We start from the raw sequence: 23,314 nt of genomic DNA on the forward strand, positions 1-23,314 counted from the left end.
GTAATTATGCTGCTTTCCAGTGGAGAGAATTAGTTGGCACTAACAATGTCATTATGACCACTGAGAGAAAAAGTATATATTTCAGAAAAAAAGTGAAGTAACTTGGGGCTGGCTTTTTGGGAGATGCAATACAAACTCAAGATGTATAGTGATATAAAATTAGTCAGAAACGAGTTTATCTTTGAGTGATGTTTTGTACAAAAGCACCACCTACTGGCAAAGAATTACTTTCCTTCTCCTATTAATAAATAGATGAGCTAATGTAGAGAATAATATAAAGGAGAATTATTTGTTTCCTTAATAAGCGTCTCTTTCTCTAGCTTTTATGATCTTATATAATCAAAGCAGTGTTAGCATTTATATCAAGAAACTACACTGACTGTATATAATTTTCAAACACCTGTTTATATTTGGAGCTATTTATTTGTAGCTTATTAATTTATAGTCTATCAGTTTACTAATTTTCCAAAAGTTTTAATTAAATAAGCCTTGTTAAAATGGGGAGAGGGAACACCTGTATTTCAAAAGGATTCATAATGGTAGACTATTTTATCTTGGTTCAAAGTTACTTAGTGATTCATTCTGATGTTTGAGGAAATCGTCTTTTGATTTCTGGAATAAAGAATTTTCCTGGCTCTAAGAAAGACCATTTCACTAAAATTTAATTAAATGCTTCTGCTATGAATCACACAACTATTTAATAATGAATATGAATTAGGAGTCTGAAAATAAAAAGTGATATGTCAATAAATACTTTTGCTTGCTCTTTGACATACAGATTATGTCTTCACAGGGAGGGTGACATAGAAAATTAGAAGAAAAAATTGGTGAGTTGGACAGTCTAAGCAGTTAATCTAGACAAGGTAAGGGAAAAATAATATAACCAAAATTCTGTTTCTTTAATACAGTTTTTGGAAGCTGCATTATTCACCTCTTTGCATCATCTTCCTATGTTAACTGGCCTGTATAGGTTTAGCTGTGTATCTTCCCCATGAAAGATGTAACAATTATTGGTTATCCCTTCCTACAAACAGACTAGCTTAAATTTATCTTTTGGTGGAATTTCATTTGACACTGAAAACATACATGAAGCATTTTGAGTAGTTCTGGGGACTAAATCCACAGTAGTAAAATGCAAGTGATATCTTAGATTCAGCTTCATTATACTGTGACATAGGATATAAAATAGAATGGCTAGTCTCTGTTAACAAAGAAGTATTTTCTTGAAAAGAAAAAAGTAGCATTAAAATAACTTAACTGCATATATGCTAGGTTCAGATATAAGCATGTTGGTCTACTTGAGAACAAAATATAGACACGAATAATTATAGACCCTGATAATTGTGAAATACTGCATATGTGTGGGTGGGTGATAAAGAGGTGGGTGGGGAGATAGAAGCCAGATATGCAAGTTACCCATATCAAGTCCTCTATGCAAATTTTCATCTATTACAGATGCTTTTGAATTGGGAAAACTCCTACCCTTTCCCATAATTGTTCAGAAATCAAACATGACTGGATAGTTTTATTCAAAATTTTTACTGCCTCCGCCTGGAAATTAGACTATCAAACTATATTTAACCTAACCTTTTATAAGTCATCTCTACTCAGAGTTATCTCTCTCAGTATGTACTGAACACCCACATCAACAAAGTTGACGTATGGAAATGCTTCCAGAAAACAGGCTGCCCTTTTTATAGGTGGTGGTTTAGAAAAACACTAAAACTTAGTGTTACACTAAATCAAATATTAGTATTCAAAGGACTTTCATTAACTCTTGATGGCAAGTTCCTCTGTCAGCCATCTCTCTCCCTATAGCAAATAAATTTGTGTTGCTTACTTAGCTTGGTTAGATAAAATCAGATACTAGGTTTTAAAAGTATAGCTTTGAAGACTTAAAGCTCCAAAGGACAAAATGAACTTTTTTTCCATGGACAAAATATGAAGAACTCTGTTTATGGTTTTGCAATTTTGAGAAAGAATTGTGGTAACCATCTTGGGCTGCTGGGAATATCTACTTTGGTGGAGCTGAAATATATTCCACTCTGCTATGAACATTGTCTCTAGCCAAAAGAATGTGAGCCCGCAACACAAATCTCTGCGACAACTTTGGCCTGGAAAATGTATCAATTCTTTTTAAATTGATTTACACTGTAAAGAATTAAGGATGCTCATGTGAATTACTTTACATAAGTATTGCAGCTTGGGATTTTTTAAAAAAACAGTTTAACATTTAATCGTGTGAATATGAGGTAGTCCATGTGAAGGAACCTCCTTTCAAAAAGCTACTCTGTGTGTGATTGTGAGAGGGAGAAAAGAGTGTGTGTGAAGCAGAGAGAGAGAAGGGCCAACAGTGGAAGGACTGGAAGGGTCATTCCATTGATTTGAGGGGTAAGGGAAGTGATTAAGTGCAATTAAAACTCACAGAGAAAACTAAGAGTCAAATTAAGCACAACGAAATTAAGTGTTGAAAGGAACCGGGAGCTGAACAAAATGCTTAACCTTTGGCTGTTGTAATTCAGTTCCTTTCTGTCTAAGGCTGTCCCTCCTTTCTCATTTTCTGAAACCTCTATTAGAGGCAGCAGAGAATTAGATTCTTCCTTGTAATAGAAAAGAGTTTTAAAATTGTAGTACAGCTAAAATATGTAAATAAATATGTGTTTATATGTAAAAATATAAATTATCAGGTACTATTGAAAACAAAAAAAAGCCACATTCAGAGAAAATAATATGGCTTTTGACATTGATAACTTTTAGGGAAATCTAGCCCTATAATGGATGAATTTTGTGAAAAAAATGGGAAATAAGCAGTTATGTTTATTTTTGACAAGAATCATGTTCAGTGGATTCCCTGCTAAGCCATAGCAGTTGATACTTTGTACAAAATATGTATACATGTACATATTTTTTAGTTGCCTGGATGGAATTATGTGCTTGGTGATAATTACCTGAAGAAGTTCCCACAGTTAATGTCTACTTGAATAGTTAACATTCCAGAGAAAATTTAAGTGTCCTAAAAAGATAAAACTCTGCGCTGATCAATATGTAATGTATCTTCAAAGTTAACTATCTTTCAAGAAAGCTGACCAACAGTATCACGTGAATTTATCTTACTATTTAAATGAAAGGTTAGATTTTCAATGACAGTGATTAGCGGGTAGGATGAACATAAGCAAACAGTGTACGGGTGAATATTTCATAATCAGATCACTAATATATGCTAAATCACTATCATGTGAAAGCTAGTGGGTGGGGGGAGAGAGGGCACCAGCAAACATAAGAGACACAAAGTTGTGGTATAAATCAGTGACTTTTATACTAATCAGTGTTTTATTCTCACTGTCTCCTTAGACATATGGATATATAACTAGTTAACTAATACAGCTAAGTGATTAACGATAACAAATGGCTAAGCAGAAAAGTAAAAGTGGGCTAGGCAGACAGAATATTTTTAAAATATAAAAGCTTGTTATCTTTAAATATTTTATATCCTCCTGGTATTTTCTTTTGAAGATTAATTGCAATTTTGGACTTATTAAATTTACAGTCAGGCTTTCAGTTAACGTTTTAAGCTTTTTTAAAAAAATGATTTGTTTTATATGAAATAGTGTGAATTGTGAATTCAGAGCTTTTTAAAGGTTTGAACGTTTCCATAGATAAATGACAAGAGTCATTTCTATGATAAAGACATATCTGAAAACTACCACAAGGGGGCAGAAAGATACATCCTCTGACTACATAAAACAAAAATTATTTTTATATCCAAATTTAGGTAATTAGTATTATATGTACTAGTTAGTATTATATACATATATTTCTTAAAATATCTATAAGTATACAACTATACTATGAGTACATTATAAATACATGAAGCCTGTGTATCAATTGACTAGTTGTTCCTATGTGTATTAGGTTAACATTAGCATAAACCATATGGTTTATGTGAAAAAAGAAAAATTCTCAAATATCTAAGCTTATACTATAAATGCCTTCTTATGTCCCAAATGAACTGTGTGAAAACTAAATAAAAATTATATCACTGATAGAAGTGGAAACAAATGTAGCCTAAAACAATAAGGAAAGAATTTACCTCATTATTACAGAGCTCGCTGTCCTCTTAAAAAACAGGTATATAAGATTTAAGCTACTTGAAAAGTATTGATCTGAAAATTACACTTGGATTTCAATAAAGTAGAGTTTTATACCCGTTAATGGGATATTGAAGCACATATTTAGAGACTGTCATTTGTTTTTCAAAATACATTCTAAAATTATATTATAAAAAATAATATTGCTTACCCCAACTGACTGAGGGCAGATGGTGGCATGTTATGTAGGTGTTGCTGTTGCCAGCCAGTTACTGAACCAAGGTGAAGAGCGCTGGCGGTGTTAAACCCAGACAGAGATGACAGGTCTGCACTACTCAGAGAGTACTCTAGATTAAAGAATAAAACAACAAGGGAAAATATTAAATTTAGAAATTATCAAATGGTAAATAGAATAAACATTTTCAATTTCCAAAATATTCTATTAGGATTATCGTTATTATAGATATTTTTAATTTTGAGGGGAGGGGAGATAAAGCATCAGCGATAATTCTAATTTAAAAGGAATATACTATAAACCAAAAATAAGTATTCCACGAATGCTCTGAAGTAGCATAGTCCGCAATTCTAGTTTATTAGAACTACAATCTAGTATAAAGGTATGTACATATTTGATGATGTAGAAATGTTAAACAATCCTGAGAAAGTGAGCTTTTTATTACATCAAAGAAACAGCTCAATTTTCTTGAAAGTGTGTTTCTATTTTGAACTCAGGTTGCATAAATAAAACTTTCAGTCAGTTAAGAAAGAAAAATGTGGATATTCACTTTGTCTTAGTGAAGAATGGGTAATGCTGCAGTGCTGTGGACGGCGCAGGCCCTAAATAAAGCTTCCTAATAGAGTAAAAGATAACTTTTTCATCTTGATTTTCAATAAAAAGTATTTAGTGTACTAATTGCACATGACAAAGCTACTCACCGGTACCATATGTTGTTGAAATGGCTGATGGATATCCTCCCATTCCTTGTCCTGGTAAAGTAGGAGTTGCTACGGAAACCACTGGGGTAGCCAATGACTGAGCCGACTGGGAGTTATTTATCCTTTGATTCTTTTAAAATAAATAAAAAGACATTACTGATGAATTTTTTTAAAAGTTAAAAATATTAGATTTCAGTATTAGTTTTCCACATAAAGAGATAACTTGGTACAAATCTCATGAAATTAATCATTTAACATGTGTCTCTATGAACTCTGCCAACCCTATCATTTACAATCCTTCAAGAGACCAGCTGTTGCCATAGTAACCCATTACATCAGTATCTCCTAGGCAACTGAACTAGTAACAAGTACCATAGCTTTATTATGGGTAAAAACAGACTATGTTGAAAACTGATGAAATATGTATACTGTACTTCCATTGTTTCAGTTTTCATTCAAATGCAAATTAAAAAAAAATTAAAATCAACCATGGTAGTTTTTATGTTCAGTTCTACATACAGCAGAGAGCAAATGAGTAGGGGCTCATGTTATATTTTGACCAGCAGGTGGTGCTGTGACCACTTTGTTCAGATTCTTCTAAACTTCCCTCAAACTAGATGGCAAAGCAGCTAATGCGAATATTTAACTCATTACAGTAAAGAGATAAAAGATCCACCACATAAACTTAAAATCATGAGACTTTAATTCCCAGAAGAAGAAATATTTTAGTTTTATGTAATGAAAGAATATTTTTGTTTGAATTTTACTATAAATTGTCCTAAAATATTGAAAACAGAAAAAATATTGAAACAAAAAAAAAAACCTGACATTCTTTTCACCTGTGAGTGATGCCAGAAATTAATGGTATTTAAACATAATCAATGTTGACATACTGTGGTAACTTCCAATATCTTCCAATTTTATCAAAGCTACCACCTCTACCTAAAAGTAGCTTTGCACATGCCATTTGAGGGAAGCGCTCTCACCACTTACCAAAAGCAGGTCGACATCCTCAGACTGAGAGCATGCGGAAGGAGTTTTATTAATTAGTGTCCGTAAATATTTATAATTGGGCAAAATCTTTTCAACAAAAGGAAAAGCATCTTCCGATAGACACAACAGTTTAAACAGTTTTAAAACCCAGACTCCAAAGATAACTCCTTACAAAGACATTCTTTGTTTCCCTTAATGAGCTGTTTGTCTCAAATGTGAAGACAATCTACCCGGTTTTCAGCCCAGGTCAGTGTCTCAATGTTCATTATTTCATCACTTCATTTTGAAGGAAAAAAAAAGACTGTGCTTTGAAACCTCACTTGCTGGAGGAAGGGGAGCTACACACCTGGCTGCCAGAGAGGGACCTAACTGACCCATCACAGATTCCCTGGGACAGCATCAGTTTTAAGGGACCTGGAATAAATCTGTTGATAGAGATGGCCTGCCATGCACGGCCCACACTGCTTGGCTGTAGCCCTGTAGGAGGTTATATTTATTAGACCCAGTTTTTTTCTGAAGGGAATGTTGCATATTATGTGATGTTTTTGGTTGATATTCAAAATTAATCTGCACTGTGCCATAATAAACTAATCAGCTCACAGGACTGTTTTACCCTGAAGCTTGCCACAGAGCAGAGAAAGAAAAAAGAAATAAATGTGTTTGCAGAATGATCTAAATTTGTCTACCGAATCTTGGTTTTAAACGTTCTTGCTCTTAAGCAAAGCTAATTTGTAGAACACTGATGTAAGTCTCTTTGTTGTTGAATTTGGTCCCATAACATTATCTTCATCTTAGGCATGCAGACCCAGAAGAAAGAAAAATGACAGGGTCTGGGGATATAACCTCTATTTAAAATTTCTTATTTATTTATCTTCCTTAGAGGTGCTACAATTCTTTTTTGATGTAAAATATAACCTTTGTTCCTAAAATGCCTAGGATTTTAATTTGCTTTTGAGAGATAGCTATTTTCATGAAGTAAATGTATGGAAAGATGAATTGAGGCAGTGTGTAGGCATGCGATGTATTAGATATAATCATTGCAATACATCTAAGAAAGGATTTGCTAATTAACAGGAGAAAGTTCATTTAGAAATTGTGGAAAGTACTTTCTCATTGTCAGCGTGTTGAGGACATAAATATTGTAAAAATACTATGTTATAAAGTACCTCATTACCTATTATTACTCTGCTTATGGGACGTAGAGATTGACCGATGGTAGTGTCTGATTTTTTTCCAACTATAAATTGAAAGCCTTAAAAGAAAATGTTTTTCTTATCCTAGAACATCAGCCTAGTGAAGTTCACCAGATATATATATATATTTTTTTTACACGGAAAAGGGAAATGCAAACCAGTTACCAGAAATAATAGCTAAATACAAGCAAGGCTCTGTCAATGGCACTGTTATGTTAATTTTCTGGGAGAATGTTAAGTAATTCATCAAGTTAGACAAATATAAAAACAGCAAAACATATACAAAACATTATCAATATTTATTTAAAATGTAGTTTTGTATTACCACTGATGGCATCGTATTCTTGCTGCCTGGTGGAATAAGAACTCGGAGATCTGGTTTACGGTTATTCATTCCTAAATTCATTGGGGGAGGAGATTTTGCTTGCATATTCTTGTTCAAGTTACCAGGTGAGACCAGCAGACCTGGTGAGTTTCGGGGATTGCCATACCCGTTCCCTGTTAACAAAAAACAATAAAGCATTTAGGAAGAAATCTAGGTCAAATACGTTTCCGAAGAATACACAACATGAGAATAAAAACAAAAGCTTAATGGTAAGACGTACATTGCAAAACCATAGGATGACTGATTTGACCTCCATGGGACAAGTAACCCAATTAAGTATTCAATAGTCCTCTGAAGGAAGATTAAAAACTTTTTATGAGAAGAGAGCCAATATACATCAACTTGCTCAGAAGTCAGCATATACTTTTTTTCCTATCAAAAATATTCAGGAAGAAAGTCAGACAGTAGTTCAGGGTCTAAGAAAAGCACAGAACTGGTCTTGCACTTTAATTGACTAGCTTGGCGGAGGCCTGGCTGGCGTGACTCACTCTTTCAGTTCACTGGTTTGGGTTTTATTTTGTGTGTCTGTGTGTCCTTAAATGAAGAAAGGGCATACCAGCAAGACTGTAATTTCTAGGACAGGCAGGAGGAGGGGAAGCCGCTTACACATTTTGCTGTTCAGTTCCGCTTTTCTCTGAGTGAATTCTCTCTATGGTTTTTCTTCCATCTGCTTTGCCCTCCTTACTAAGTTCAGTGTACAACCCTTGCTTTCCTCCTCACACAGAACTTCAGAAAGCAAGACTCCTTCCCTGGAGCTGAAATGAAGTGATGATGCCTCCGCTAAAGTGCTGATTCACCAAGGCACAGGAATAGCCATTGAACTGGAAGACTGAAAGGGTTTTCTTAGGTCTCTGATGTTCAGTATCCTACTAACAGAAAAGTGGGTATCCCAAGGTCTGCGTTTTTCATATTTCAAAATATGACCAAGAGAGCTAGGGAGGAGTTGATTACAAATGCCAGCAGAGCTGGCATGACAGTGGACTCAGAAAGACATCTGCTGATTTCCTCCACTGCCTCTGAAGGGAGAATAAGAGAACTCAGCTACCTGATTCAACAATCCTTGCTAGAAACTAGACAGTTGTTTTCTGAAGCTTTCTAAAGGAGACAGTTAAACCTCATTGTTATTGCCATCATTACAAAACACAAGTATCTATTACCCCTGCATGAGTGAGATTGTGTGCTACCCAGTGAGGATGCAAAGACAAGGCCCCAGGCTTGAAAAGCTCTGAAATCTCTTTGTGGTAATCCAATACATACTCATGGAAAACATAAAGACCAATACAAGGCAGCGTAGGGTGAGGTGCCTGCAGAGTAATCCAGATTAAGTGTTATTGAGTTCCCGGGAGAGAAGAGGTGATCCAATAAAAGATTCACAGAAGAGGCAGGAATTGATGAGGGCCTTAAAGAAAGGCCATAGGAAGATATGTTAGGCTTGTGACTGGGCAGTAGGAAAGGGCTGAGGTAGGAGTTTAAAGAGCATGGTAAGGGGCACTGAGAGGAACCTGTTTAGAAGGGGACCCGTGAAAAGAGAGGGGTGTCAGAGGCTCTGGAGGGATGCAGGGGTTGGGCTGTGGAGATCTCAAATTCCAGGCTAAAAGTCCTTGGGTTTATATGGTGGAAATGAAAGTTTCAGAGTAGAGGTATGACACAGACCTCTAAGTGGTCAGAAAGATCTACTGGCATTGGTATACTCAGGAATTAGTAAGGCCTGCTAGTGTGGACCAGTCTGGAGACTACTTTGATGGCCTGAGATAGAGGCCATGAGGAACTGGGAAGGCAGAGCAAAGGTATATTTCAGGAGATATTTATGGGAACATCTTTAGAAGCAAAATATATTTGAGGCACACTGTATAAAGCAGATTTGTTCTTCATATCCCATTCATTTACCTGTCTCATTTTATGCATGAATAAACAGGCTGAATATATAACAAATAACTACAAGATTAAGTCTGTCAATTGGATTATGAATAAAATTATCCCAGTTCCTGGGGCAAAAAAACAAAAATAAAGCAAACTGGACACCCCCAAAACGTGTGTTAAGTGACAGGACTCACTTAAGAAATGTTGGTTGAATCTGAATATCAATTCCCTTCTATAAGAAAACTTCTGGAATATTAGCCAAATTCTCTAAAGCTAGATAAATATGACAAACCCCCAAATTTTCTTTACAGTAAATTCGAACAGTATTCCATGGCAAAAGCTGTTACATAAAACAATGCATTTACTTCCTCTCACTAGAAGAAAAAAACAAACAAAAGAGAGTATGTTCACTTAAAAAAAAAAAGCTTGACAAAATGGAGTGCTTAGAGGAGTTTTATATTTAATATGTCATCCTGAATCATTATTGTGAATATGTTATGAACTTAGTTTGAATTAATAGATTCTACGGGATAAAAAGAGAATAAGAACATCAAGGTCAATTCTGCTCTATACTTTGCTGTCAGCTGAAGGTCAGATGGACACACTGAAGACATATGTCACTTATCTATTAAGCCTGTGTGAGATCTGGTTTATATAAACAATCAAATGGAAAATTAGCTGGGTAATTTCAAAAGAAGGGGGAGAAAAAAGTCTGTTAAGCAGTGCAATGAAGCTTGAATAGATCAGAAGAAACTAAAACCCCAGCTCGGTAGATGCCGATACTGGTTTGCATGGAGGAGTTATTTTGCTAAAAGGAAGTAAAACCGCTTCGTGAAATGTGTTGTCCTGTGATATGACAAGCACTGGGCCAGTGTGCGAAAATGGAAATGCTTCACGGAGGCCTTGAGAAAAGTTTGTTTTTTTTTTTTTTTTTTTTTTTTTTTTTTTTTAGCATTTTCTACAGTAAACTCTCTGAGAAATTCCAACAAAGCCTATGTCTTTTTGCCCACATTTTAAACAGTGATTCAGGGCAGCAGTAGGGGAAAAAAAAGTAAATATACATTGTAGCTTTTCATTCAGTAAATACCTCAAAACTAAAAAAATTGATTTTAAAAGCCTTCTATTTTTCTCTTGGAATATTTCCTGTTATTTGGAAATTACGCCATTTTAGAAGATTAGTCACATATTTTAAGGTGTTTACATACTGAAATGTAAAATATTTTGAACCATGATGACACTTCTTAAATTCATATTTTTAGAGCATCAAGTTATTTTTAAGAACAAATAAATTCTGCTTTTTGCTAGTGAATTTCTGCTGTTTTTAGCATATTGTGCCAGCTAGCATTTTGGAGCCGTATAATAACCATTTCTGTTTCCAGCCACCAAATTGTTATTCTTTGGACATAATATAGATTCAGGAATGCAAGACTGTGGATCCTAAACCAGTGATATAGAAACCTATGATTTGAAAATCAATGATGAATACATGCGTGTGGTTTACTGCTAAGAAGAGCCTGCATTTAAACCGGCTGGGAAACCGCAGCCTCCTCCTCACTCAGAATGCTGCGGCCTGTGTTGAGCCTGTTGTCCCACCTTAAGATAAATTCACCAAAGAGAATGGTCGCATTTAAATTCAGGGGTCCGGGAGGTGGGAAACACCACCTCTCAACAACCTTCTAATATATGGATTCAACCTTTTTTCATGCTATGTTTTAAAATTACCCTCTGCCTGGACAATTATCAATTTAGACGTGACTGTATGCAGATGTCACATTCCTCTGACCACTTAAAGGCACAAAAATTATAAAGCAGGAGTGAATGGATTTCCTGATTATAGATTATAAGAAAATGAAGTACAGACCAACTTTAGAGTCAGTTTGTTTTATAGTTTCATTTGATTAAAAATATTGTTTTACATAAAAATAACAAATTTAAGCATATATGAGTTAACTTACATAAAGGATTAGAGAATCTACCTCTTCTGGTTACAAGTTTGTATATACTCATATTAGTGTCAATACATAGAACTTGAATGTGGTGTTAGGAGAAAAACATTTTTCTCCCCAGTTAACTTGCAAACACTTGCTGCATTTTTTTTATTGACTCCTATTTTAAGAAGTCGTAAATTCAAAGAACATATTCCTGGCTTAAGATATTATGAGGAAGGCATTTTGCCTTGTCTCACAGAGCTCACTTGAACATGTAGCTCTCTTTGAGCTCAAAGTTCTGAAACTTTCTTTTATTTGGATGTTTAGGCATTTTGAGTTTTCTTCACTTGTTTCTTTTTCTTTTCTAGGACTTTGAATTATGAATACAAGCATATAAGACTAATAAGCATAAACAGAATTAGTCACTATGGACCATGGCTAATTCTGCCATTGGCATAACCATTTTTTAATCTACCAAACTGTCATCTTCTATTATCCCCTCTCCTCCTTCCATCTCCATATCCAATGAGATACCAAATCTTATTCATTTTTCTTCAGAAATGCCTGTCTCTACTTCCACTGCCACCATCTTAGCTTTGGCTTCCATCACCATTTGAATAAATATTTCAGCAACTCGGCCGGGCGCGGTGGCTCACGCCTGTAATCCCAGCACTTTGGGAGGCCGAGGCGGGTGGATCATGAGGTCAGGAGATCGAGACCATCCTGGCTAACAAGGTGAAACCCCGTCTCTACTAAAAATACAAAAAATTAGCCGGGCGCGGTGGCGGGCGCCTGTAGTCCCAGCTACTCGGGAGGCTGAGGCAGGAGAATGGCGTGAACCCGGGAAGCGGAGCTTGCAGTGAGCCGAGATTGCGCCACTGCAGTCCGCAGTCCGACCTGGGCGACAGAGCGAGACTCCGTCTCAAAAAAAAAAAAAAAAAAAAAAAAAAAATATTTCAGCAACTCTCCATCTGGGCCTCTGGTCTCTACTTGAGGGGTTCTTCACCAGGCCTTAAGAGGAGTTTCAGGCCTTCAGAGGAGTTCCTTAAAGCTGTATGCAAACTTTTGTGCATTTGTGTGATGCTAACCAACCCACTCAAGGAAGTCTTTCTGAACTGCTACTTCCATCATGTTCCTTTTTCATACATGAGTGCTTAACACAGTTGAGTCAGTGCCCTGCCTGGCTCTCAGAACTGTCTACAGTTGACACACTCTATCTATGAAACCTAATTTCCAATGGTCACAGCCTGCCTTATGGTCCTCGGAATATATGCAAATCTTTGCTCTAGCAGTTCAATAACTGGCAGTATTGGCTCTCCTGTTTAATTCAAATTTATCTTTTAAGGATCAACTAAAGTTCCAACTCTTTCATGATGCCTTTCAGACAACTTCAGCCCACACTGAATTCACTCCCCTCTGCTGCAATTAGTGGCAGCGATAATACACAGAGTACTAGTTCTTTATATGTTTCAGGTGCTTCACAAATAGATATATAGAATATGCTAGAAAAATTAAGAATTATTCAGGAAAGGCACTAAAAGGTAAGTTATTGAGGGACAATGAGGTGAGAACTGAAAATGTAATGAGTAACTTGTTAAATTGAAACATCAAGGGTCTCTTCTCTTTATGCTACTTGAGAAAATTTTATATTTTAGATAATGATTGCAAATTGATGACCAAGTACACTATTGAGACAAACTGCTTATCTACCATATATATGAAAGCCAGGAAATCATGTAAGTGCCCACCTACTAAATTTGTTTATAGAGAGTTAATTAAAGCGTCTTTTCTACCTGTTGCACCTGTTAATCATTTCACAGCACATTACCTTAGCTAACTGCAAGTGGTAGAATTAAACAAGTCAGACATTTTCCCTAATGAAAATGAAAAGTTGAAGTCTCTGATATTTTCTTCCACACTGACGAGTATTTGTTGCCACAGGTTGTCGTTATATCAAGGTAAATCTCAATACTAATTTACTCATACAGAACTTTTCACCAAAAGATAAGCTGCATGGTATCCTAGGGAAAAGAATGGTGGCAGGGTGGCTATTAAGAGTGAACAGGAATTTATCAGATGGTTCAGAGAGAGGCTTTGCGGAGAGAAGGAATGCAGGACAGAGAGATCTCAGAGTTTAGAAGGAGGGGCATTCCTCTGAAGATGAAACAATGGATCTTGAAGAGCAGAAAGTTTTCCGAAGTTGAAAAAGAAGGCTTGGCTAACATGAACCTCTAAGATTATGTTAACTTTACACTGTAGGCTTTATACTAAGCTTTTACCAAATTTTATACTCTAGAAAATGAGTGCCTAAGATAGCTTCTTAGTTGTTAGCTTTATTAAATTTGTGTTAGGAAAGGAACAATGATGGCAGTGGAAAGGAGAGACAAAAGGGGGTTGGACTGCTGTTAGAGAAGCTAGTTAGAACGCCTTGCTCTAGAATACATGAGAAATGATGTCTGAATGAGGCAGCGCAGAGAGAAAGGTTTACAGGCATCCAGGAGTTGGGGACAAAAAAAAGATAAGGCAGAGTAATCTAGGTTCTACTCAAAATGTTTCTGTTAAGAGTTCTCTCAACCCTACAGAGCCTTAGTTTTCTCAATAGAAGTATTTCCCTAGTGTGAGAGAAGCATGAAAGTAATCTGAATGAGAGGCTCTCAGGTACTCATCTGAGGCAGTCATTGACAATCTTACCATCCAACAATATTAGCAATCGCTAACACAGTGTATAGTATTATTTACCAACAACACAACATTAAGCATACACATTAACTGCTCAGAAGAGTACCAGGCACTTGTAACTGCTATGTAAGTGCTAGATATTGTACATGGATATAAAGCACTTTTAATCTTCACAAGAACAACCCTGTGGGATACTAATAGTATCCCTATGAAAAATGAGAAATGAGAAAACCGAAGAAAAGAGAGGTCCAGGAATTTGCTCAATGTCAAACAGCTATCAACTGGTGAAGCTATGATTTGAACCCAAGCAGTATGTCCAGAGTCCATGCCCTGAAGTACAACACTACACTGCTCCTTCAGAACCAGTCATGCTCTGAGATAGTGAAAGCCTTTCTATGTCGAGTCTCATTTGCAAATTATGGGGATACAAATGAAGAGAGGACACAACTAGGGACAGGACAGTCAAGGTTGTCCTAAGCCAGAGGTGATGTGCAAGTTTGAGGGACATGTTGTAAGGTCAACTTGGGCATAGTAAATAGTAGTTCTGGTTCAGAAGACACTGAATTCTCATAAAGAGGCACAGAATGGTGATGTTCAAACCATATTTCTGGTCTCTTTCTGGATAAATAAATATTTACAAGTAGGAAATACTGAGTTTAGCTACACTGAACACCAGAGTAGCTGTTTAACTTTTAGTGTGCTATTTTGAGTGGATGATTAAATATGCTTTTAAAAGTAGATTTTGTAATATTTTAGTCAATAATCTTCTCCCCTGTAATATACTTAAATGGTAATGATGCTTACTTACTTACTGTCAATTTAAGAGACCAGCTTCTATCAGAAACACCCAATGTTACAGTGAAATGTCCAGTATTTTTTAGTATCTGCGATTAGTTGTTACCCGGGAAATAACTTCTAATATATAAATGTATAAAAATAATTTTGTTTAGTAATTTGTTAATAGTATCTGATTTTGAGGGATTTGAAGCAAATTGACACAGGAAAACATTAAGCTGAACACACAGCTGGACCTCTGAAGTATCAATTTGCTGCTTTTACTTCAACAAAATGTTTTACTCACTTTAAAAAAAAAATAAAGCAATTTTGAAAACAGTTACAGCATACTGGGTTGTTAGACAGGAAATGTCACATACATAATAATGCTCACTATCATCAATTAATTTTATATTTTAGTTTTTAAAGTTTTAAGATTAAAAGTTAGTTTCCAATATCAGGATATTGTTTTGTGCCTCAAATGAACATACATCTTTTTATAGAAAATTACTTTAAATTGTGTATCATAAACTTGCTCATACAATCCCCTACTCTACTGGAAGTGACAGTTGAAAAAAAAATTAGTGGAAAAATATGATCTTCTAGACTGCAGTCCTAGCCTGAATGCCTGAAACCTTGTTACATATGCTAGGAACTGTGAGTTATTCAGCTGTTGTGTATCAAAATCAGTTTTGTTTTTATTTTTATTTTTTTGAGAAAAAAAGATATTTTACATTGAATAGCTCTAAGAGAAAAGGCAACCACAAAACATTCAGGGGTCAGAAATCTGGGTATGATGAAAATTTCAATATGCTTAATGTAGAAAGGGGGCAAATCAGATTTCTGATTCTTATCTTGCTAAAGACTCCTAATTAGGGATTCTTACACACAAAATAAAGGCTCCACTTTTTCTGGGGGTTTCTTAGGGAAATTATATAATAATGCATAATGTTAAACTATGAAGAAACTTCTCTGAAACCTCAGTGCATTTTGTGGTATATTCTTAGAGAAATACCCCAAGACTATACCAAAGCCAAGAACTATTCTTGGCCATACCAGTTCAGGGGCATCAGACGTTCTAAAAAGAGAGCTGTCTCTTCTCTTTGACCATGTCACCTGATGCTGGACCAGAGCTTCAGGAATTTCATATCTAGCCTATTTGTCCTTGACGTTTCTTGGGCTGTGTTTTGTTCAGCGATTTTGCGTGTGTGTGTGTGTGTGTGTGTGTGTGTGTGTGTGTGAAATTAACAGTCTGTCAATGAGACAATGAGCTTTTAACGTACAGCACATACTGTGTAAGCTCTGGATTGTGAGGGAGAGGTAAAGAAATTTTACTTATTACTAAGTTGTTTTTCCAAAGATTGAGAGTCCATCAAGTAGGTTTGTGTTGGCGAACATTTTCTCATTTGTCCTAACTGTCATGCGGATTTAGGCATCACCATCCCAGCTTTTGACAGATGAGGAAACTGAGGCTTAAGAAGCTTCCGTTACTTGACTGAGATCACCCTGTCAGCAAGGAAGAGGCTTTGATTTGAATCCAAAATGCAGGTTGCTACCACTACATTACAAAAGCCAGATGTCTGAGATTTAGCATGCATCCTTGTATTTGCAAATAAGGAAGAAATTGACAATCTGATGTCTCCAGTACAAAAAAAAAAAAAACCCAAATATCATTCTCCTTTGGGTACTGATTTACTGAAGGGATAGTTTTTAATTGCACCATAAAAATGCTATTGAACCACACTATCTTTAAAAAATTCCATTTAACTATGAATGATAGATTTATGACTCATTTAATTGTTCACTTCTTGAGATTTTGGGGCTGTCTCTTTGCTAAAAATGAGGGGGTGTCTTCATTATTGACACAATCGCTCATTCTTTCAGTCATTTTTATAAACAAAAATATTGAGACAGTATAAATTAGAGAGAGCATGACAGAAGAGAAAGAATAATTACTTGTGGTTTTAACATTTACACAACTGCTGCGAACACATCAGAAGTTCATAACGTTCAAAGTGAAATGTGTTGCACTGTACTGTACTGCTCTCACATTCTGCTTCAGATTTATTAATACATCCGCTTTACTTCCACCCTTGAGGATAGGAGCCCCGTGCTGGACATCTCTGTGAAGCCTACTGGTGTGCTCCCTTCACCACACATTTCATAAATACTACTGGAACTGCATTAAGCTAAACATTATAACCAGAAAGGCTAGAAAATCAAGAATGTAGATGATTATAACCATAGCTCACATTTATTAACAAGCACTTACTCTGGGGCAGAAACTGTGCTAGACCCCTTGCATCAGTTATCTCATTTAATTTTTACAACAATCCGGAAAAAGAGGAGTTTAACAGACTTTTCAAGGGCAATAGTGCCATCCCTAAAATAATTTGTATATCACATACTTTCCTTGGTTGTTTTATTTTTTTGAATATCTGCCTCTGGAATCTTTTCCCAAACTACTCCTTGGGCAAAAATTTTGGTCCATGGTTTTACGGTTTTCACTGAGTTGCTTAATATTAGAGCCAACTAAAGATTCAGTTTTCTTGATTGTTATGTAAATTAATGTTATAATGTTTGAATATGTAAACTGGCCATAGATTTAGTTTTCTCTTACTACTATATTATAATGTTCTATATTAGTATAGCAGGGCTTTTTCCTCCTTATACTTTAAATACAACATAATCGGTTCTTTATAATAACTGGAGGTGGTGGGTGGACTCTAAGGTCAAGAAATTGTAAAAAGAAGGCATAATGTCTAGTAAAATAGATAAACTTAAATTTGAGTTCAGTTAAAACAATTGAAATGGAGCAATAATAAATAAACACAGTGAACACTTAGCACCTTTTGGACGTATCAGTTGGTTATAAATTTAAACTGTTTATCCAAGGTTCTTGGTATAATACTTAAGTTTAACATAGCTAATGATCTTTCAAATATGATACTGTATCATGACTAAATATTCTTTGGATTGAAATTCAACTGAAACATACTATGTAAGTGTAACTGCAAAATTTAAGTGATTGGCAAAGGTTTGTCTAAAAACAGCAGATTATACTCTTGGCTGACAGCCTTGAAGCACCGAGTGAGAAAGTCCCTGGTAAGTAAAAAACTGATTTCCAAAAGAGGGGGTTTTTAACCAAATCCCCCCTTCAGCATCTGCTCTCTACTGATGCACAATGTCACATCACTGATGATTATGAAAAAAGCTTTCCTTTCTGTGTTATCTCCAAATAAAATCTTATCATGATGCCAAAGATAGGGAAGAGGAACCTAATAGGTGTATAAAGAGAAAAGACTGCTTTGAGAAAAAAAGACAAATTCTGAATAAAACTAGTATTTCAGGGGGAAATATTAACGGCTTGAATTTAATATTAAAAACAACCAAGGTTTTCTTATCCTTCACACTATTAGGTTAAATCAATGGGATATGAGTAAAGAAACCAATCTTCACAGTACTTTACTGTAGATATAGAAGGATAGAGAATAAAAAGGATACAATTTGTGAAGTCAGAAATCAGGATAAACAAAGGGCTCTAAAATCTGCTAAAACACTCTCTAGGAAGTTATAACCTAAAATTTTCTTTTTTTCCTCTGGAAATCAAACTCCTTAAGAATGAAGTCAAACCAAAGGGGTCGAAGGCATATTTTACAACATCCTGACTTAACCTGTAACATTTTTCATTTGTCTTGTCTTTGACCTGCCTTTCCCACTTCAACATGAGCCCCTAGAGAATGGTATCAAGGTAATGGTTTATCTATAATTTGCTTGGTTTTGTATATGGAAAGTGAACACTGATTTTCTTGGCAGTAGCTGCATACCACATGCTGTAGCTATCTAATTTGAGGACTAGGTTTTTTTTTTTCTTTAATCTTGATAAACTTGGTTTGGGTTAAAAATATCATTGTTACTTAATTTCATAAATAATAATAATAAAGCAATGCCGTTAGTTATTTACTTATGTTTTGGGTGAACTCCCAAGGTAAAACTGCCAATGAATTCAGAATTTTTAATTCAGAACAATTCAAACTAATGGAACAATACTTTCAAAACAGAACCCAACTATTAACCTAGATTTTTTTCATTTGCTGCTTAATAATATTTTAAAAATAATATAAAAATTATATCTTTATACTAACAATTAGTTTTCTTATTTGAGGGTAATTAAGTATCTTTCTCCCTTTCTTGAATATTGCAATCTTAAGTTATGTTTTCCTGGGCAACAAAAAATGCAAACTTGTTAAAGCCAACTTTTTAAACTAAATTTTTAACCACTTCACTGATATTTTAAGTCACTAAGTAAGAATTGCAGAGAAGTCTTTCTGGCCAATAAGAAAGTCAGCCAAGAAATTTTTGATAAGTATTCTTGAAAACAAATACTTGCAAAACAATGGTGCTGGTACAGAAAAATTAAGCATTGTCTGACCTTTCCTCTTTCCACTTAGTTCTATTTTGTAATATGCTAAGTTTTTTCTTTTTCAATGCTAGATGAATTACAAAAACATAAGCAAAATTTTATGATTATATTATCATAAAACATTGCGTGTAAATGGATTGTAAAAATATTTGTTTCTTATCTCCAATCTGAGTAAGTACTAAGTTCAAAGGTGCTGAGTCATGACCTAAGGTCTTGCTAGATGGAGTCTTTCCAGAGTCTGGAAACCAGATCTCTTATTCACTGCTCAATATTTATCCACGGCAGTACACTGCCACCATCAACTCTCCATGTATTTAGCTGACATAAATTAAGCATTCCAGAAGTGACAATGCTTGATAACCAAATGCATAAAATAGTCAACAATTAACATTCAAAATAAGAAAACAGATGTTAGTTTCTTTTTTATAAAATTATATCTAATTTACAATAAATGCCAATTAAAATTATTAACCAATATACATAAATCTCCTTTGCCTTACTGTCAAATAGCTATGTAGATTGTAAAATTATCTTAAATGTTCAAAGGAATTCCTAAAGGTTTTTCATTTCTTTTTTCTCTTTTTTTGATCTCAACTATGAATCAATAACTCCTTGAGCATACTGGTCCTTTCTACTCAATAAAAGGCAATCGTATTATCAAAGTGAAAACAAAGGATACTAACGGGATAGTGAATAATCCAACACAAGGCATTGCTCTGCTAATGGTTATTTCCATTAAATCTAATGACTACAAACAACCGAACTTGATCTTACCATCATCAATAACCACTCAGATTAGCATGTTAAAAGCTTTAATGTGGTCAGGCATGGTGGCTCACGCCTGTAATCCCAGCACTTTGGGAGGCCGAGGTGGGCGGATTGCCTGAGCTCAGGAGTTTGTGACCAGCCTGGACAACGGGTGAAACCCCATCTCTACTAAAATACAGAATATTAGCTGGGCATGGCAGCGTGCACCTGTAGTCCCAGCTACTCAGGAGGCTGAGGCAGGAGAGTTGCTTGAACCCAGGAGGCGGAGGTTGCAGTGACCTGAGATCACACCACTGCACTCCAGCCTGGGTGACAGAACAAGACTCCGTCTCAAAAAAAAAAGTTTTATAGAGTTATGACAAAATGTTATTTTAAAAGCAGTGACTTTTCATTTAGGTTGTTAAGAGGAAAGAATTAAGTAGTGGATGAATAACCATCAACTGAAACCTTAGAAAAGTCACTGTTACTAACTAATGTATTATAATGACTTGCTGTATATTTCTCTTATACCAAGAGTACAACTCCATCCTGCTACTTCTTTATTACCCTTTGTCTTCATCTTTGAAAGTATTTCAAGTTAAGTGATGATAAGAAGTTGTATTAAGAGGTGATTTGTGATGGTCTGAGATACCAACCCACATTTCATTTACTACTATATGTCAGCTCTTCAGGTTTTCCGTTAAGAATATTAGAGGAGTTAATGAAACTTTGCTTTATTGGCCCAGGGTACTCAGCCATTTAATCAAATGGTTAATTAAACATTCGTTGTATACTGTTTCAGAAGAATACATTATTTTTGTGAGTTACAGATCAAGGGTATATCTTTTTTTATTGAAAATTACATAATTTATTTGAAATGTTCCTTCTGGTTTACATCAACACTATTAAAACTTCATGGCTAGAAGATCTATTTTTCCCTTACTCAGCTAACAAACATTTACCAAGTATCTGCTGTGTGCTAACGCTTAGGTGTTAAACTGGGCATACAAACTGAATGAGAAAGAGTTTGCCTCCACAGAGCTGAGCGTCCTAGAGAGATGTGCCCAGATGTTGCAATCATAATGCAATGAGAAATGTAATGTTGGTACAGGCTACTATGTAAGCACAGGAAAGAGGTGCATAACTTGTCTGTTAGAGTCAGGAAAGGCTTTTCTCAAATGGCTGAACTGAATTCTGTGGGATGACAAAGAGTGCTCAATAGCATGAAGCAGAAGAAGGAAAGGCATGCTAGGATTGCATAGGTAAGAGTAAGCGGCCGTGACATTGCCAAGTGGCGGCACAGTGTAGCAATTAAGAGCACACACTGAGGCCGGGTGCAGAGGCTCACGCCTGTAATCCTAGCACTTTGGGAAGCCAAGGAGAGAGGATTGCTTGAATCCAGGAGTTCAAGACCAGCCTGAAAACCATAGCAAGACCCCATCTCTATAAGGAAAAAAATTAAAAAATTAGCCAGGCATGGTGGTGCATGCCTGTGGTCCCAGCTACTCAGTAGGCTGAGGGAGGTGGACTGCTTGAGACCAGGAGATTGAGGCTGCAGTGAGCCTAGATCGTGCCACTGCACTCCAACCTGGGTGACAGAGCAAGACACTGTCTCAAAACACACACATACAAACACACAGTATGGGACCTGACTACCTGGGCTCTTCCTTGTGCAATTACTTAATTTCCCTGTGCCTCAGTTTCCTAATCTGTAGAAAGGGCATAATGTGAACACTTAATTTAAACGACTATTATGAGAATGATGCTTTTTGTAGAGTGCACAGTAAGAGCAGTTTAGATGTCTACTGTTAGTAGAGCTGGAGGGCCGGGTTCTTGATAGCAGTGGCAGAAGGGAAGAAGGTTAAGGCTGGAGAGTAGGAATGGGCCTAGGGATAAGATATTCACTGTTAATTTTCAAAGAGAAGCCATGGCTGGATTTTTGGCATGTGAATGATGACCTACAGTTAGCTTAAGGTTTTAAGAAAGAACAAGCAGTCCTGGGGAGACTGAAGCAGGATGCAATATAAAGCAGGGAGATGAATTAGGATGTTCTAGAAACTTACTGGATGATGGTATGATGAGAAAAGGATGGCTCAGGCACTGGATGGGAAAGATGCTACACTTTATGATAAAACTGAGCTGAAAAAAAGCATGCTTACCTTTTTGGTCTTTTAGTATTTATAGGCACAAAATAAATGTTCAATTTACTTCCTTGCCTCATGAGACTCTCCCTCCCTCTCACTTTTTTTTTTTTTTTAACAAAGTGAGATGACTTGATTTAGAAAAAAACTGCAGCTGCTAAAAAGTAACGTAATTGCAGTCTCGCCACTTGGCCTCAAGAGTTTCAAACTTTATCTGAAACCTTGAATTTCAATGACAATATGCAAAATTTGGAAGCTATATTTTGGCCTTTTTGCTTTGGTTTTCTTCTCTGAAAATGTAGCAACATTCTGGCTGGCCTTGTTTTCCTCTGGTGTTATGTGATTCTCTGACATCAGCACGGATATATTCAGCCTGACATATGATACTGGTTGGCATGAGAAAGAAGGGGAAGATGGCTGAGTTTATGAGTAGGACATGACAGCTAAGCTTGAGACTAAGTGGCATCTGCAACAGGTGTTCCTTGGGACCAGAGTTAGAAAGGGCTTCTTCCTCTATTTTTAAAATATGGGTAACACTTTCACAGCTATATAGAAACTGTGAAAACTACATGCTCGTAGCTATAATATGCAATCAAGATATAATATTTATTATCACCAGGGTGGAGTAATTCAGTATCTTTCTTTTGGTTTTCTTCTATTTCTGAATTAGAAGATTCTCATACCTATGGTAGAGGTCCTGAGGTAAGAGGATGAATTTGCTAAGTGCATAAGATTTTGTTAGTTCAATGTTACTATATCCTACGTGTGTCAAACTTTTATGCCTACAGGATTGAGAGTCTTCTCTATCCCTAGAGGATCATTAAACTTAGCCAACTGTCTGGGAATTGACAATGACAGAATAATTGAACAACCAAACACTTTTTATTTTCAATATAGGATTCCAAAGCATTCTAGCTATTAAGCAGTAACAAGCCACTTCCATCAAAGCTGAGTAGGCCATGTTTTCCTCCACATTTTTTTTTTTTTTACTACTTTTTTTTTTTTTTTTTTTTTTTTTTTTTTTTTGAGACGGAGTCTCGCTCTGTCGCCCAGGCTGGAGTGCAGTGGCGGGATCTCGGCTCACTGCAAGCTCTGCCTCCCGGGTTCACGCCATTCTCCTGCCTCAGCCTCCCAAGTAGCTGGGACTACAGGCGCCCGCCACTACGC

The 23,314-nt window shown here is 35.9% G+C and overlaps 1 protein-coding gene across 79 annotated transcripts in view, besides 5 other annotated features; it reads right to left on the reverse strand.

Annotated features, from left to right (window-relative positions):
- Positions 1-23,314, reverse strand: part of MEF2C (myocyte enhancer factor 2C) — a 186,989-nt gene that overhangs the window by 7,077 nt on the left and 156,598 nt on the right. For 42 of the 79 annotated variants that reach the window (XM_017009478.3, XM_047417190.1, XM_047417202.1 and 39 more), the window contains 3 exons: positions 7,536-7,708; positions 5,025-5,154; positions 4,300-4,435 (listed from right to left, as the gene is read on the reverse strand). In XM_017009478.3, coding sequence (XP_016864967.1) covers positions 4,300-4,435; positions 5,025-5,154; positions 7,536-7,708 — 439 coding nt within the window. Of the gene's footprint in view, positions 1-4,299; positions 4,436-5,024; positions 5,155-6,017; positions 6,042-7,535; positions 7,709-23,314 lie in introns of all 79 variants that reach the window. The other 37 variants (XM_011543396.4, XM_047417181.1, XM_047417182.1 and 34 more) reach the window with 1 other exon arrangement.
- Positions 7,960-8,009: an enhancer, noted in NCBI's record as "active region_22759". NCBI's record gives its function as "activates an Ori minimal core promoter by ATAC-STARR-seq in GM12878 lymphoblastoid cells {active_cell/tissue: GM12878}" and the evidence as "EXISTENCE:reporter gene assay evidence [ECO:0000049][PMID:35858748]".
- Positions 8,130-8,409: an enhancer, noted in NCBI's record as "active region_22760". NCBI's record gives its function as "activates an Ori minimal core promoter by ATAC-STARR-seq in GM12878 lymphoblastoid cells {active_cell/tissue: GM12878}" and the evidence as "EXISTENCE:reporter gene assay evidence [ECO:0000049][PMID:35858748]".
- Positions 11,101-11,200: an enhancer, noted in NCBI's record as "active region_22761". NCBI's record gives its function as "activates an Ori minimal core promoter by ATAC-STARR-seq in GM12878 lymphoblastoid cells {active_cell/tissue: GM12878}" and the evidence as "EXISTENCE:reporter gene assay evidence [ECO:0000049][PMID:35858748]".
- Positions 12,333-12,382: an enhancer, noted in NCBI's record as "active region_22762". NCBI's record gives its function as "activates an Ori minimal core promoter by ATAC-STARR-seq in GM12878 lymphoblastoid cells {active_cell/tissue: GM12878}" and the evidence as "EXISTENCE:reporter gene assay evidence [ECO:0000049][PMID:35858748]".
- Positions 19,221-20,420: an enhancer, noted in NCBI's record as "CDK7 strongly-dependent group 2 enhancer chr5:88039231-88040430 (GRCh37/hg19 assembly coordinates)". NCBI's record gives its function as "activates an origin of replication core promoter dependent on BRD2, BRD4, P300/CBP, MED14 and CDK7 cofactors, with strong dependence on CDK7, by STARR-seq in HCT116 cells {active_cell/tissue: HCT116}" and the evidence as "EXISTENCE:reporter gene assay evidence [ECO:0000049][PMID:35650434]".

This window comes from Homo sapiens, chromosome 5, assembly GCF_000001405.40.
Source record: "Homo sapiens chromosome 5, GRCh38.p14 Primary Assembly".
Lineage (NCBI taxonomy): Eukaryota > Metazoa > Chordata > Mammalia > Primates > Hominidae > Homo > Homo sapiens.